At 45.0% G+C, this 18,105-nt stretch overlaps 1 long non-coding RNA gene across 1 annotated transcript; it reads left to right on the forward strand.

Annotated features, from left to right (window-relative positions):
• LOC105369551 (uncharacterized) lies at positions 1,445-17,744 on the forward strand. Its single transcript, XR_007062934.1, has 2 exons — positions 1,445-2,255; positions 11,377-17,744. It is a non-coding gene; the product is annotated as an uncharacterized LOC105369551 (long non-coding RNA).
• Positions 17,745-18,105: the final 361 nt, after the last annotated feature.

Raw genomic sequence — 18,105 nt, forward strand, 5'->3', positions numbered from 1 at the left:
TCTCGCTGCTTCTCTGCTCAGCTCTCTTGAACAACTTTGTTTTATATACCACTGAATGCTAAATCTAGAATAGATGTACTTATTGTTACATTTTGAAAGGAAGGTGAGGGTTAAAGAAAGAGAGAGTGGCGGCTCTACATCAAATCCAGGCTTTCTGTCTAGCATAAGACCTACAGAGGTGGGGGACTAGCTTAATGCCAGTGCCCACTGCTTCGTACAGGTTGGGGTACTTGTAGGTATGAGCAGGACGGGTCTGGGCAGTATGGCTTGCTGCCTGGGAAGATGTTCCCATAATGAGGCATTTTGGCCCTTGTTCCCGCAGAATGTGATGCTGATGTTCCTTGGACTTTTTCCCAGCAGAGTGTGATAAAGTCAGGGAGGCAGTTGGACAGGCTGTTTCTAAGGGCCCAAACCCCCGTGGAATGCTTCACTTTAGCCAAGGTCTGCAAAATGGCGGGGGTCGGTGGGGGTTACGAAATGGTGCAGTTTGGACTAACACTTTATCACTGTTATAATTATTTGTTTCATGTTTGTACTCCCCGTTGGACTCTAAGCTTGAATGCAGAGACCCTGTCTTGACTATTGTTGTAGTCCCAGTACCTAGCAGCATGCCTAAGCTTTTCCTGAAGGAAGGAAGGAATGAGTTACCTTTTGGGGCCTCTCTCTGCCTCATAGAGGAGAATTTATAGAGAATCATGTAAGAGAATCTATAGAAGAGAATCTGGATTAAGGTTCTGGGTTAGTTGAAGACAGCAAGATCACCAGGGATCAAAAGTTACTTGACTTGAGTTAGAGGATAAAGCTAGGATTTCTGAGCCTCAGGCAGGTTCCTTTACAGTAGAGAAAGGTATGAAAGAGCATGCTATCAATAATTCTTTTCCTCCAGGATGAGTTTGGAAGAACAGCTATGAGCCTTGGGTCTGACTTTTGTTGATAGAAGCAGTGGAAATTAGTAGAAGGGAAGAGGTGCTATCTATTCCACCCTAACTTAGAACATAGAAAGACAGACAGTGGGCTCTGGAGAGCTGATGCTTTCAGCTGAAAACAATTGTTTTTAAAAATTCCCTATGTAAATTTGCTTCAAAATAACCTAAATGAGGGATTGTAGCAATGAACGGGGAAAGAAGATAAAATAAGACTGGACACAGTGGCTTGTGCCTGTGATCCTAGCACTTTGGAAGGCTGAGGCGAGCAGATCACCTGAGGTCAGGAGTTCAAGACCAGCCTGGCCAACATGGTGAAACCCCATCTCTACTAAAAATACAAAAAAATTAGTCGGGCATGGTGGCGGGCACCTGCAATTCCAGCTACTTGGGAGGCGAAGGCAGGAGAATCGCTTGAACCTGGGAGGTGGAGGTTTCAGTGAGCTGAGACTGTGCCATTGCATTCCAGCCTGGGCAACAAGAAAGAAACTCTGTCTCAAAAAAAAAAAAAAGAAGATAAAATAAGATTGGTCCTGTGTGCATGATTGTTGAAGCTGTGTGATGGGTACATGCGGGTACTCTCTACTTTTGTATATGTTTGAAACTTTCTATACTGAAAATCTTCAGGGTGGAGGGCAGAAATACCTATTTGGAAAGCCTAGATAATCAATGCCTTATTTAAAATAGCTTCAGGGGATGATGGAGAAGTCTTTTTAATATGTGTGTGCATTAAGACCTAGATAGGAGCTTAACTGCTCCCTATTATACAACTATCCTACACCCAGGGCTGGCTTCCTGAGCAGGCGCATGGGCCCACACTCAAAAGGGCCCTGGTTTCTTGCTTTGCTTTCAATCTCTGGAAATTCTTCGTCACTTTCTAACAAAGGCGCCTCATTTTTGCGTTGCACTGGGTCCCACAAGTGCTGTCTCCAGTCCTGCCTAGATCTCATTTTCCAGTCCCCTTAGGTATATCACCGTCTGGTATTGGAAAGCTTTGGCCTCTGAAACCAGGTTGAGGAAGCTTTCTTTTAGGAAGAGCTGGGGCACACCTAAGTCCAGGCTGCTGGCTTCAAGCAGACATTCCTCCCCTTCTTGCACTCTTCCCTACTTGATAAATATGTTCCCATATAAGTTTGTTGTGCTCTGATTTTTAGTAGAAGCCTTCTCAGAAACATCCCTTCCAACCTCTCCCTCTACTCCTTAGATTTCCTCAGGTTTGATGCTTTGCTAGAAGGACTTACAGAACTCAGGAAAGTGCTTTACTTATATTTACCAGATTATTCTAGAGGACACAGCACAGTAACAGCCACATGGAAGAAATACATAGGAAAGGTATGTGGCGGCAGGTGGGGCGGGGAGGTGGTTGGGTGCAGAGCTTCCGTGGCCTCTGTGGGTGGGCCATTCTCCCAGCACATCAGTGTGTTCATCAACCCAGATGGTCTCTGAATCCTGTTTAGAGGGTTTTATGGAGGCTTCATTACATAGGCAAAATTGATTAAATCATTGGCCATTTGTGGAGCTGAACTTCTCAACCCTTGAATCATGGGATTGGTTTCTCTGATGACCAACCCGTACCCTGAAGCTACCTAGGCCCACTTCATGAATCATCTCATTAGCATAAAAAGACAGTTCCAAGGGTATTAGGATCCCTGTGCCAGGAACCAGGAGCAAGGACCAAATAGATATTTTTATGATGTCACAAAGAAATTCCCAGGATTGCCATGAAGGAAGGCCTCAGCATGATTGCTGTGCAGCTGGGGTGGAGACAACCCTCCCAGATAAGGGCAGGAGAATGAATGGCCCAAAGTGGAAGTCTCCAGAGAAATAATAATATATTATCTGATAGCTCCGATGACAGCCATGTACAAATGTGTACTGAGAAGCTCTTGGAAGGTGGGGAAGCTTAGCCAGAAGCATAAAATTAATTGAGCAAATGATAATGTAATTATTATTTGTAGGAAAAAGAATATAAAATCATGTAATAAAAAATGTCATCCTAGTACTCATTTTATTTCACTTGTGAATACTATTTAAATATCTACCAGTCAGGGCCCACTTGCAGGACACAGGAGCTTGTCTGGTGAGTTACCTTCAGCAGAAAGGTATTAGGTTGGTGCAAAAGTAATTGCAGTTTTTGCCATTCTTTTTTCTTTTTTTTTTTAATGGCTGCCACCTCTATCACAATCAGGAAAGTCACTGTAGAGTGTCAGGCAGCTTCCACAGGAACTGTTGGCTTCAGGAGGGCACCACTGTGTGAGCCAGGAATCAGGAGTGGGCTGCCACTAGGACTTGTAGCTGTATATGCACTCCACGCATGCTAGACGGGCATTGGCAAGACATGGTGTCTTGTTCCTCTTCTCTCACTATCATAAAGCTGGTACCTGGATGTAGAATGCTGCTTCTGCAAAAACAACCAACAAAATAAAACACAAAACACCTCACAAAATTCCAACATATTCTCAAACATCGGAAAACTATAGACATAGCAGAAAGATTGTAATACCTAACCTTGTTTTAAGACTCTCCCTTAGCTACCTAACCTTGTTTCAATATGAATAGGCTCTCCCTTAGTTGAGAAAACCGGACGAACACCATTTGGCTCCTTCATTTACAAGACATCAAGGACTCCTCACCCATCCCCTTCCTCAAGGAGTTAACTTGTGTAAGCAGATCGAAGAGTCCAATTAACTGATAAGGTACTGTGGCAAGCAATGTCCATAGTTCCCAGGAATTCGCTCAAGAGATAGCACCATAAAGCCTCGGCGTTTGTGTCCAGCAGAGCCCCCGTACCTATCGCCTTGTGATAAATTTAAAGCCCCTGCTCCTGGAACTGTTTGTTTTCTTGTAACCATTCGTTTTTTTTTAACTTTTTGCATGTTTTAACTTCTGTAGAATTGCTACAATTAAGCACCCCCTCCCATCTCTAAACCAAAGTATAAAAGAAAATCAAGCCCCTTCTTCAGGGCCGATTGAATTTCGAGCGTTAGCCGCCTCTCGGGCGCTGGCTGATAAACGACTCCTGAATTCGGCTCAAAGTGTGGCGTTTCTCTCTAACTCGCTCAGGTACAACAAGATGACCCTCATTTCTGCATTCTTAATTAGTGAAATTTTAATCACACTGGCAAATGTAGTTCTTGGCTTTCCAGAAAGAAGAGCTATTAGAAGAGATTGGGGAAGATGTTGAGGGCTAATGCACCAAGGCCAGAACAACATAGCCCCCATCTCAAGGCCTTCACATTTACTGCTCCTTCTGCCTGGAGTCCTTTTCCTTCAGTGGCAAAAACTCTCCTTGATCTAACTTGAATCAGGCTCTCTTGAGTCCTCTGCCCCACTAGGCCCAATCTTTGGCTTGCCTTTCTCTCTGTTTGTAAAATCCACTTTGAGCAGGAATCCTGCTAAGTCAGTGCAGTGAAAATCCCTGCCCTTGATATCTGATCACCTGAATATCTATCACCCTGGCTTGCCTTCAGCAAGAATCTATTGAGTCTAGCAAGAATCTTAGAAGTTTCCACATGGTAATGTCCCATCCACCGACCCCTACCCTGCTCCTTGACTGTAACACCCTTTCCTTGTGTTCAGACTACAGCCCAGTCTCTCCCCACTGCAAGAGCGCACTGCATTGGTCCCTATGCCTACAGTGGTAGTTCCCCCTGAAACAAGTCATTGTCTTTAGCAAGCGTCCTGAATACTTGTTTTAACACCAGATACCAGCATGTCTTCCTCCCTCAGTCTCCTTAATTCGGTTCTCTGCTGAAATATCACTTCTCAGAGAAACCCTTTTAAAAAAGCACTCCCTGCCACTGTCTATTGTCTTAGCCTCCTTCAGTTTTCTTCATTGTTTTTATCATTACCTGGCAATATTTTATGTATCATTTTGATTTTTTATCTGTATGAGTGTCCTCTGTGTGTACACTACTCTGTCCCCAGAGTCTGGCATATCTTAGACACGAAATAGATGTCTGAAAGGACGACTAAGCGTTGACTTATCCTGCACTGTGAATCAACTCTATTGAGAGCATGGAGGGAGGGGCGGGGGGATGTATAAAGGAGGGAAGTTCTCATCTATCATCATAAGAAAGTCCATCGATGGCCAGGTGCAGTGGCTCATGCCTGCAATTCCAGCACTTTGGTAGCTGAGGCAGGCGGATCACCTGAGGTTGGGAGTTCAAGACCAGCCTGACAAACATGGAGAAACCCTGTCTTTACTAAAAATGCAAAAAATTAGCCGGGTGTGGTGGCGCATGCCTGTAATCCCAGCTACTCTGGAGGCTGAGGCAGGAGAATCGCTTGAACCCTGGAGGCAGAGATTGCAGTGAGCTGAGATGGTGCCATGGCACTCCAGTCTGGGTGACAAGAGTGAAACTCCATCTCAAAAAAAAAAAAAGTCCATTGATAATGTCTAAGATGAGTGAATCAGAAATAGTGATATAAACTGATTATTTCACGGAGGTAAATCCCAGAAGAATGGGCTGATTATGGCTGGGGACTGTTGGGAATAGGCCCCCAAAATCTGACTATAAACTGGCCCCAAAAATGGCCATAAACAAAATCTCTGCAGCACTGACATGTTCATGATGGCCATGACACCCACACTGGAAGGTTGTGGGTTTACCAGAATGAGGGTAAGGAACACCTGGCCCACCCAGGGCGGAAAACCGCTTAAAGGCGTTCTTAAACCACAAACAACAGCATGAGCGGTCTGTGCCTTAAGGACATGCTCCTGCTGCAGCTAACTAGCCAGACCCATCCCTTTATTTTGGCCCATCCGTTTGTTTCCCATAAGGAATACTTTTAGTTAATCTAAAATCTATAGAAACAATGCTTATCACTGGCTTGCTGTCAATAAATACGTAGGTAAATCTCTGTTCGAGGCTCTCAGCTCTGAAGGCTGTGAGACCCCTGACTTCCCACTCCACACCTCTGTATTTCTGTGTGTGTGTGTCTTTAATTCCTCTAGCTCCACTGGGTTAGGGTCTCCCCAACCGAGCTGGTGTCGGCAGGGGAGGGTGATATAAACTGATTATTTCATAGAGGTAAATCCCAGAAGAAAGAGCTGATTGTGGTTGGGGAGGGTGGGTGTGGGTGTTGGGTGGAGTGGATGGGAGATTGGGGGAGGATGGCCAAGCTTCTCAATAAGCAGCAGTCCATACATGTGTGCTGTTACTTAACCACCTGAAATTCGGAGAAATCTGGACAAGCTTCAGAGAGGAGCTCCCATTCCATTAGCCTCTCGCAGTTTATATAGCAGAAATCCCTTCCTGACCTCCGCAGGCCCAGACCACTGGTCCATTCTGCATGAACTATCCCTTCCTGGAGGCTGGTGAAGCCTACACGGGCACCAGAAGGCCTCTCAAGTTTGTGCTGACTTGGAGCCAGAGCCACCAGAGAGGGAGGAGGAAAACAGAAAGAGCAACCGTTTTGTCTCGCGCGCATCCCTCTGTGTGTTCCAGCACTGCCCCCGCTGATGCGGCTGCACTGGCACGGCGCCACCCAGGAAAGGCCACCATGCAGACTTGAATTGGAACCTGCTCTGAATGTTTCTGGCTATGTGACCTTGGAAAGAGAATCACCCTCTCTGAGCCTCCGTGGCCTCATGCGTAGAATTGAGATAATACCATTTCCATGTTTCACACTTCTGAGGATGAAATGAGGCCATGTAGGTGAACACACTCAGCACAGTGCCTGGCATGAGGGAGGCATTCACAGAGTAGCCACTGAGTATGATTTTCCTTCCCTTGAGGGTTTCAGTTTTGCTGATATTATAATAACTGTTTAATTTGCTCCTTGTTCACATGGCACTTTAGAGTTTACCCTGTATATCAGTGATACTGCCAAGCATATATTGTCTCTATTTTACAGAGGAGATTCTGAGAAACTACATAGGATGTAATCCATTTATCTTGACTTGACATCCCATCATGCTCAGGAGTGCATGATTCTCCATGACTGGTAATAATGTGTGTTGAACACATTCCAGGGCCACAGCTCCAGGGAGAATGACCAGGGCAGTGGCTGGGAGGGAGGAGGAGTCTATGAACTCTGAGAACCTCTCCTCACAGGCCTGAGGCCAGCTCCTCACTGTGAGCCTCCTCCCACCGCTCCCCACCCTAACCTGAGCACACACCTGGCCCTCACAACCTCAGAGCTCAGGGCACAGGAGCGAGTGCCATCTTCCCAGACCATGCGGGGGCCTCCACTGCTAAAACCCTGTTCAGGCAGCAACTTCTGCCAGAGACAGTGCTGTGCGAAAAGTGATAATTTCTTCATCTTCAGCTTAACATTTTATCCCCTTTTAACAAGCAAAGAAAGGATTAGAGAGATTCAATATCCTCTCCAGGACCATACAGTGAATAAGTGGTAGGTCTGAGATTGAAATACACAGACAGCTGACTTCAGAGCCTAAGGGATATTCTTGTTTAGATTTCTTTTTCAATTATGCCTTGTGGTCTCCTTGGGACAGAAAAACATTGTAAAAGGAAGAAAAGGGAATACCTATTTACAGATAATGTTCATAGTAAGGCAGAATAGGATTCAGCATTATAAGGGAGGTTAAAATGGAAACAGGAAATATTGGAGGCAAAGGTAGGAGAAAAGGGTATCGAATATTTTATGTAAAATTGCCATTGGGATGGGACTACAGCAGTGGCTCTCCTCTGGGAGTGAATTCCCCTCCAGGGCACATTTGGCAATGTCTGGAGAGATCATCAGTTGCACAAGTTGGGGATGAGCTGCCGTTGGAGTGTAATCCTGGAGGACTGGGTATAAGGTGAGGCCCATTTGGGGAGACTCTTGAATGCCACACCAAGGAGTTGCTGTTTCATCAGGTGGACCAGGAAAGTATTTTGAGCAGGAGAGTAAAATGATTGTAACTGTACTCTAGGAGGCCATACCCAGGCAGGCATGAGCGCTGCACTGCAGCTGAGAGAGTGAAGAAGTGGTGATTACATCCAAGAACACAAAGGCCAAAAAATGGACGAGGCCGAATTCCATGGAAGAAGCTGCAGAGACATCAGGAGGAGCCAGAGGTGACGTTCTGAAAGGTTTCACTGCCAGTGCCTGTGCCACAGGATTGCCCTGAGAGACAGAAGCGTGCAGAGGCAGAAGGGACACATCAGGAGGCTGCACACCACCAAGCTCAGCTCTCTGCATATGTGGAAGCTGCACTGCCACCCACCCTGCCCTCCACATCTGGCAAATATGTGCAGACAAACATTGCTAGGGAAAAATGTAGTGGGGGTTTTTGCTTGCTCCCCAATGCTTTCCAAGACAGCAGCTTCACCAAGTCATTGTGGATTCAATGTGTGATCAAATAAATTCTGTGATTCCTCCCATGGGAACCCAGTCAGGGACACCATGATAAGGATCCTGCCAGTGGCCAGGTCTGTACACTAGCTGTGCAGAAGTGGCATGCTTGCGAGTGCACCTCAGGGAGTCACTGTCAGCTACCAGTGTCCTGACTCAGCCAAAGGCAAATGCAGAGGCTGCGTGTGCTCCAGCCACAGGTTGCAGTTCTTCACTCTTATCCTTACATCTACTAAAAATCAGAGCACAAAGAAACTTATCTAGGAAAAACTTATTGAGGAACATATTCATCAAATAGGGAAGAGTGCAAGAAGAGGAAGAACTGTCTGCTTGGAGCCAGCAGCCTGGACTTAGGGGTGCCCTAGCTCTTCCTAAAAGGAAACTGCCTCAACCTGGTTTCAGAGGCCAAAGTTTTCCAACATCAGATGGTGATGCTCCTAAGGAGACTGGAAAATGAGATCTAGGCAGGACTGGAGACAGTACTTGTGGGACCCAGTGCAGAGCAAAAACGAGGTGACCCTTAGAACAAGGGGTGGTGTTTAGAAGGAAAACCGAAAGGAATAGTAGCCAGAATTCAAGAGCGTCAGATATTCTAAGAGGCAGTGAGGGGTTAACATAGTCCAAGGACTTTCAGGGGTCCGATCACACAAGGATGACCTTGGCCATCATTGACGACCTTGGTCAGAGCAAGTTCAGGTGAGAAGCAGAGGCAGAAGGCAGATGAGAGTGAATGAAAGAGTGAACAGAAAGGGAGTGGAGATGGCGAGTGTGGCCAGCTCTGTAAAGCAGCTTTAGGAGGAGAATGAGATGATGGTGCGGCAGCCATAGAGAGGGTAGAAGCAAGGACAGCTTTTTAAAGAAACAAACAAACAAACAAAAAACCCCAATGATTTTGGCATGTTTTTAGGCAAGGATAAATTTCTCTCTTATGTTTTTCTTTCCTCAAATTAATACAGAATGTCTACGTTATGGATTTGGGAATCTCTACTTTTATTCATCTTTTTATCACTCTTTGCACCTTTATTTTTTCCTTCAGCTTCCCTCTCTTCATCTGTTTATCATGTTTCATATTTCTCTTTTCTTTTTCATTCTTTCCCCTCTCTCTTCTTCCTCTTCACTCTCTCTCTTTTAAAACAGGAGTTAATGTCAAAATAAAGGATATTTTTATTATTTATATTATTATTAAATCCATTTTTTAAATTCCCATTTTAATTGTATATGCCTATAATTAGCTTATAACATTTTCTTTCTGATAAAAGTTTCAACAAGCATGTCTTTAATGCTCAGATTATTACATATGTTTTAATGGACTTTTAAAACATGAGAATGAGAAAGGAGAGAAATGTAAAGCAGATGAGTCTGTCTAGGTCAGGATCTGGTTAATTCTCCCTGTACCTACACAAAAGCACCAACCCAAACAGAAACAATAACCAAACTCAAATTCTTCAGCCTAAATGAGGAAATTCAGTCTGGTCCTAATCAAGAGAGACAGGGAAAGACCAAAAATGATAAAGGCAGGACCAATGAGTGGAATTTGTATTGTTTTAAAATGACTTTTATAATTTCTCCAACTCCAGTTGAACAATGAGAACACTTGGACACAGGGAGGGGACCATCACACACCGGGGCCTGCCAGAGGGTGGGGGCAAGGGTAGGGAGGGCATTAGGACAAATACCTAATGCATGCAGGATTTAAAACCTAGACAATGCATTGACAGGTGCATTAAACCACCATGGCACATGTATACCTATGTAACAAACCTGCACATTCTGCACTTGTATCCCAGAATTTAACTAAAATAAAAAAATAAAAAATGATAAAAAATATAATTTCCCCAACTTCTCTGTTGAGCAAATTAAGACTTGGTCACTGTAGTGGATACATATCTTTACATATTTGTTGAAACTCAGAAAGCACAGCACCAACAGTGAACCTTAATGTAAACTCTGGTGATAAGGATGTGTCAATATAGGTTCATCAGCTGTAACAAACAGACCTCTCTGGTGCAGGATGTTAATATTGGGGGAGGCTGTGCATGTGTGGGGGCAAAGGATATATGGGAACTCTGTATTTTCTGCCCAATTTTTCAGGGAACCTAAAACTGCTCTAAAAAATAAAACCACGTTTGTCACTGTAGACAATTTTAAAAATACATAACATTATGTATAAAAAGTTAACATAGGCCAGGCGCAGAGGCTCACGCCTGTAATCCCGGCAGTCTGGGAGGCTGAGGCAGGCAGATCATGAGGTCAGGAGATCGAGACCATCCTGGCTAACACAGTGAAACCCCGTCTCTACTAAAAATACAAAAAAAAAAAACTTAGCCAGGCGTGGTGGCGGGCACCTGTGGTCCCAGCTACTCGGGAGGCTGAGGCAGGAGAATTATGTGAACTGGGGAGGCGGAGCTTTCCATGAGCCAAGATCACACCACTGCACTCCAGCCTGGGCAACAGAGCGAGACTCCGTCACCAAAAAAAGTTAACATAACCAATAGCCTGTTAACTAGATAATAGGTTAACCTAATAACCTACTAACGAATATAAATATTTTGGTTTCCACACTTCCAGGCTAATTATCATGTACATAAGTGTATAACCATCTCCATCTGCCTGGGAAAGAGGGTTTTCTGGGATGTAGGACCTTCAGCGCCAAAGCCAGGAAAGTCCCAGAGACAACCGAGATGAGTTGGTCATCCTATTATAGTTTTATGTTGTATTCTATTTTCTAAAAAGATAATGAAAATGTAGTATTTGGCTTTTGAATGGCAATTTTTTCTTGGACCATCAGGTACCAAGGTGTTGCTGGGATCACAAATGAGCCAGCCAAGCTCCTTGACTGCTGACCACCACTCACAGACCACCACCCACCCAGGACTCATCGCCCAGGAGGAAGAGCAGAGCCACACTCAGTGCCAATAGCTTGTCCATCGTCCTCAGGAAGGAGGTCCTGGAAGCAGGCTGCCACTGAAAGGCCAGCTTTCCCAGGCTTTGGCTCTCTCCTAGCCCTGGGCAGGGGGCAGGGACCCACTGTCTGCAGAGCCGTTTTGCTATCAGCATCTTCTGACTCCCACTGCAGGAGTGTTACAGCCCCGTTGCACTTTCTGCAGAGTAAACACCCTAGTTTATGAAACTTTTTTTTCTGTTTTTTTAGGGCGGTGGGAGAACCTGAGGACAGGATCTCTGAAGGAATAGTAACATGGTGTACAGGAAGAATTGATGTTTGCTGGGAACCTGACACACTCCAAGCCTGAGGTCCCTGAGCAACTTCCCACCTCACTCCATCCCTCCTTCTCCCCTACCCACTTACTCTCAGGTAGAGAGCAAGCCTCACACACAACCTGGGGAGAGTCCAGGCTGCAGTGCAAGGGCAGAGTAAAGAACTCCAGGCTGAAAATGCATCAAGTCGGGGAGCTCCACCTGCCTGAGGAAGAGCTCCTCCATCAGACCACACCTCCTGCCAAACAGACATACCTGGGGACCAGGTGAGCAGGTGATGGAAGAGGATACCATGTTTCCTGTTGAAACATGAATGGTACCTATCATGGTAAATCTATTCATCATCCCGTATCATAGTATTCTCTATTCAGAAGCTGTCTGGACATGGGGAGTTATTCACTTGTCCTGTGGCCCTGGGCTGAGACAGTGACTGCTCAGGGTAGAACAAGAGTGCAAGGAAAAGTTGAGATGGGAGATAGCCGGCCTCTGTTTTAGGACATGACAAAGAAGGAATAAGGGACTTCATGAATGAGTGTGTGTGAATGGGAATGGGGTGGCATTGGGAGGAGCTGCTAAGAAAAGCAAAAGTTCATGGAAGAGAAAGGTGTCCCGTATTTAGGCTTCCTTTGATTCCCAGTTCCGATTTTAAATATGACTTTTTAAAGAGTGTTGTTAATAATAACATACAAGGATAATATGAAGAGTAGAAACAATAGTTATGGTGTCCCAGATCTGCTAAGAACCTTATGAACAATAGTCTCATATGTTTCTGATAATAGCCTTAGAATTTAAGTGTGGTTATTTTCTCTATTTCCTTGATGAGGAAATTAAGGAAAACGATTCAGTAACTCGTTGCCAGGGTTTCTTAGCCAATAAGTGCTGGCACGAGGCTTCAAACCCAGTCGCATCAGATTCTGGAGTGCGTGTTCTGGCCAGGGCACTCCCCTTGTGAGTCTCAGCCTAGATGCTTCACTGGAAGATCTGATGGGGGTTGGAGTGGGCCTGGAAGCTTGTGGTAGTTCTGAACACCCAGTGTCTTGAATGGTCAGAGGAGGTGGTTCCTGCACTGGGAGAGAGATTGTGCTTGATGATCTCTGAGTAGGCTGGCCACATAATACACCCTGGGGACTGAGACATAATGGGGAGGAAAAGGAGCTTTACTAATCATTAAGCTTGGACAAGGCCATAGACTAAGAATAAATCTAAGATTCATCAGGCCAAAATACGTGGCATTCCTCAAGGACCTCATGTCTTCATGGACCTCCCAATCTTCTTTTTTCTTGAATAGCCTGGACGCTCTGGGGTTTGGCATTATTCAGTCCTCCTAGACCCTCTACACATATCTCCCACCATAAATGAAGCAGAAATGTGGGGTGATGGTGTTCAGGGTCTCTGGAGTGTGGGTGATGGGGAGGAAGTGAGACTGCTTAGTGTGGGGCACTATTCTGGGTATGGAAGTGATGATAACCCATGTGGGAAAGGTATGAAGGTTGTAGGTTCAGGTATGAAAGAATGAATATGAACTAAAGGGAATTGTGAGGAAAATACATACAGGTGGTCTTTGTTTTGCATGTGTCCCATATGCATGAATATAAGTTACCATGGATTAGTTAAATGACACCAGCCCCTCAATAACATAGTTCAAATTTTGGTTACCATGGTATATGTATTATGGATAGTTACATAAAGATGACCTTTGCTACTAGCTCTTCGGTCCACAAATCAACATGTAAATAATTTATGCTTATCAATCAGTTATCAATCATGTCATTTCTTTCAAAGTCTGGCACTGTGCCTCTGTTCATTAGTTCACTCACAGACAACAAAGCATTTAGGTGTGTTGCTTCCTTGTCTCCTGGGAACATATTCACATGATTCAGGAACTCTCGGATAGACTGCATGATACCAAGAGTGCAAAGGGTAAAATGTTGGAAGCTGATCCAAACATAGAAAGAAGTATAGCAATCTATTCAGGGAGTGAATAAAATACCTAGGAATCCAACTTACAGGGGATGTGAAGGACCTCTTCAAGGAGAACTACAAACCACTGCTCAATGAAATAAAAGAGGACACAAACAAATGGAAGAAAATTCCATCCTCATGGATAGAAAGAATTAATATTGTGAAAATGGCCATACTGCCCAAGGTAATTTATAGATTCAATGCAATCCCTATCAAGTTACCAATGACTTTTTTCACAGAATTGGAAAAAACTACTTTAAAGTTCATATGGAACCAAAAAAGAGCCCGCATTCCCAAGACAATCCTAAGCAAAAATAACAAAGCTGGAAGCATCACACTACCTGACTTCAAACTATACTACAAGGCTACAGTAACCAAAACAGCATGGTACTGGTACCAAAACAGAGATATAAACCAATGGAACAGAATAGAGCCCTCGGAATCTGGGAGGCAGCCCCACATGATGCTCAGGGTAAATTTAGTACATAAGTGGAGCTAATAATTTTGGTCTCTGTACATCAATTATGTTCTTATGCAATAGCAGTCATAAACTTTTCCTAGTGGAACCAAGCCCCATAAATGCATAAACCCAGGATTTTGTTTTACAAAAAACAGCCAGGACAGAACATATACACCAGGCTAAATTGTTCCATTGGAAAGGACCCACCACGATCTTTTCCAGAGGAAACACCATTAGGATGTTCAATAAGCATAAATTTCCACTAGAAAATTTGACCAGATCCTTATTTTCTTTTTCGCAACCTCTCTTCCTATATTCTCCAGCTGATAGTACTTTTTTTTCCAAAATCACATTTTGTGTTATATTTGTTAATAACACATTCTTTAAGTCTGCAAAAATCAGAGAGGTGTTAGTAAGTTGATGAGTCAAAGAAATTTATTCTTTGGCATCTGCAATAATTCGTTTGTATCCCATTTCCATTATTTTCTACACCGTCCACAGCCCCTTTTCTGGCACAATTATGATGGGGTGATGTAGGATTGGGAATCATGGGCACCCCTGGCATTCCTCAGCCACTGTGTGAGAGGCATATGCTGAGCATCCTGGTGATGGGGGTAACACAGCAAAGTGAGTCAGTTTGGGGTCTGGGTACAACATGGAACCACTTGTTCATGCACCTCACTCCTCCAGTGCTGCGGTGCAAGCCTGTCTTCCATGCACGGGGAACGGGAGCTCTCATGCATCATAGCTGTGCACTCAAGGTGTAGATTTCAGGCAGGCTTTCTGTCTATGGAAGCATGGGGGTTCTTGGCCCTTCCTCTCCAGCAGCTGCTTTCTGGTCCAGCAGACCATCCTGCATTAATTCACAGGTGGTATCATCCTTTGCCTACTAGTACATATCTTCTGAGTGCCTGCTCTGCCCACTCAGCACGTGCTGTGCAGAGTGCTCTGGTTCACTGAAGATCTGACTGTTAAGGTCTCTGCCATGAAGGGTTGTCTAAATGGAGGAGAGAACCTGCCACCCCCACCTGGATTATTTTGTCTAGCATCCAAGCTGGAAAGCCCTGGTCTTGTTCCATGCTCTTCCTCTCCTTGGCTAGATCTCAGGAGTGCTGAGTATCTAGAGGCTTGATTGTTTTTATCAAGCATGATGAATTAGCTAAAGACATTTTAGAGAATATCAGTAGAAAATTATAATTTAAAAAAAGTGAAAAGTATTTTGTACTCTAAGTGTCTTACCTGTCACACCCTAGTCCAGGCCCTACAGGTAGTATGTGTGGAAATTCTGAGCCTTCCAGCCTAGTGCTAGAGCAGTAAGTGAGAGCCTCTATCTACATAAACCCAGCTTGATTCCAATTCCTCTGTGTTTCAGCGACTGAAAAATAAGGGTATCAAAAGTAGCAGGAATTGTTTCTTACTTTGCAAAATAATCTATCACCTGTAAGGCCTCTGTTACTTTTGTTGTTTAGATAGCATTTGCTGTGTACTTGATGTGTTTTTGATAGACTGAAGACATATCTTAAGTGACATATTGAATGGTAGTAGCAGATACAGATCCTGCTATATGGATAATACTGAATAAGTATTTGCTATTATGACTACTCCCAGCATTGCCAAAACCAATTCAGTAATGGGAGGGCCATGGTCCTGACTATAAGCTCAAACACAGAGAGGGTCGAAAGAAGAGTGAAAGGCCTGGACTTCACCTATGAGGAACAGGACGGGGCTTCAGGGATGTCCTTTATTCTTGGCAGCTCCAAAGGGGCTGGCTCTGTGGAAATCTTTCCTGAGCCTGGACAGTGGTGAAACACCCACTGGCGAGTGTGTAAAAGGAAGCTTCTGCCCACAGCCTGGGAGCAGCTCAGTCCAGACTCTCCAGCCTGCTCTCATCTGCACACTGAAGCAGCCTGTCTTAGCCTTTCCGGAGCACTTAGCTGCCTGGTTCCAGCCACCCTGCTGTGTCTTTCTTACCTCCCAGACTGAGATGGACAAGTTCCCGCTCATGCTCCTGCTGCTGGGGGTTTTTCCTCTTGTGTTCTTCCAAGGTGTGAGTGAGGGTTTGGGCTGGCTGGGGCAGGAGGTGAGAACAGGGGCGAAGATAGCTGGCGAGCAGGCTGAAGATGATCTGGCCAGCACGGGAGGAGGTCAACACCAAGATTCTGGGATGATCTGACCAACAAGAATTGGAGGTGTCTCTCTGCTGTCCCCACCTCAACTCCTACCAGGGCAAGAGGTCAGGCCTCTTCCCGAGGTTTCACTCACTTGGGAAAATCAAGGCTGGTGTGTGTTTCTCAACATGGGGCGTTGAGGCTGTCTGGCTGGGATTATGTGGCAGAGCCAATGATTGCTCAAGGCTTTCTATATAGAAGCAACCTAGGGACAGTGGTCTAGTAGGTAGAAGTCACTGAAGGGCTTATCCTAAACCAGTGTTTCCATAGCAAACATCCTGTACAATCTTTCCATGGCAAGTTTCACTTAGATATGTTTGGATATCAGATACCTCTTTAGCAGGGTGTGGTGGGAAACTTTGTGAGAATGCCTCTCTTCCTTGAAGCCAGCACAGTCTTTATGCCTCTTTCATTTCCCAAGAGATCATCAACCTCAGAGAAGTTGTATGTAGATGCTCTGACTGTGCTCTGCACAAAGGCACCACTGTCAAAGGGATACCTTTTCTTTTATTTTCAATAAAATTAAATCACTTTACCAAATCTCCAGCTCCTTAAGGAACTAATGGACAAAATCTGATGGGAACATTTCCACCTTCTAAGATTATGCTGGGAGATGTTCTTAGGGTTATTCTTTGCCCTTGAACTCCTGGGCCCTAATAGTGGCCTAGCCCACCTTGGTCTCAGCCCATTCAGCCCTGGGCACAGCCTTCACGTTTATTTTCTACAGGTGATGCCACAATGTGCATGGTGTGCAAGCTTTTTAAGAGAGGCCAGTTTAATAGGCAAGGGCAACTGCACTGTGAACCATGGCTCTGGATGCAGAACCAGGGATTTCTTCATTTTTGCTGAGACAGGTAATGCTGTGAGCCAGTCTGAGAGAGCCTTGCTGGGTGGTGAATGCATTCGGGGACCAGACGTGGCATGGATGGGGAAGGTCTCCCCACTTTGAGGTAAAGTATTGTTTCTGGCACTAAATGTGAATGCCTGTCTTCCAGGTGGGTGGTTCTATAATCACACGGAATTGAACTGCTTAAATACATGTGCGCCTTCACATATGTATCTTATGACCTGAAGGTTTCAACCTTTTGCTGTAAAGATCAAGACTTCTGTAATAGAAATAAAGGACAATTAATGACCACGAAGACTGACTGACCATCACTTCCTTGGCAGTGGTGGTTTGCCCTTCACCTCTTTCTGTGCCAGTATCTCTGGTGTGCTCCCCCTCCCCACGTGCTCCTGCTGAGCCTGCAGGATCCTGGAGTGCCCTCCAAGTATCCCTCCTCACTTCTCTCCAGGCTACTGGCTCCATCCTTCTGACGCCAAATACTCTCAGTTCACCCTGTGATATTGTTGCGATGTTTGTCCCCTCTAAATCTCATGTTGAAATGTGATCCCCAATATTGGAGGTGAGGTCTGATGAAAGGTGTTTTGGTCATGGGAGCAGATTTCTCATGAATGGCTTGATGCCCTCCTCATGGGAATGAGTGAGTTCTCACTGTATTAGTTGACATGAGAGCTGTGGTTTAAAAGAGCCTGGCACCTCCTCTCCTCTCTCTTGCTTTGTTTCTTACCATGTGGCACCCCTGCTCCCCCTTTGCCTTCTGCCATGAATAAAAGCTTTCTGAGGCCTCACCAGAAGCCAAGCAGATGCTGCTTCCATGTTTGTGCAGCCAGTATAGCCATGAGCCAAAATAAACCTTTTTTCCTTATAAATTACCCCGTCTCAGGTATTCCTTTATAACAATGCCAAATGGATTAACCCTCGCTTCATTCTCGTCTTCATTCACATCTGCTCATCCCCAGCAGCCCTGTGTCGCTTGCATCTTCTCAGCCCTCACCATTCCTGCATTAATTTGACTGACTAACTGCCCAGTTTCCAGTACCAACAACTTAGCAGTGACTGTAGAGAGCACAGAAAGGTAATGGGCTCCATTTCATACACCAGGAGGCAGAGGGGTCAGGGGAAAACTCAGGAAAACATGTCCACTTGGCAGAGGGACAGAGAGGGCTTAACGTCCAGGAAGGTATCAAGGCCTGGGGCAGACCAGTGGGGTCATCAGCTTTAGATGCCACC

The sequence above is a fragment of the Homo sapiens genome, chromosome 11, assembly GCF_000001405.40.
Source record: "Homo sapiens chromosome 11, GRCh38.p14 Primary Assembly".
Classification (NCBI taxonomy): domain Eukaryota; kingdom Metazoa; phylum Chordata; class Mammalia; order Primates; family Hominidae; genus Homo; species Homo sapiens.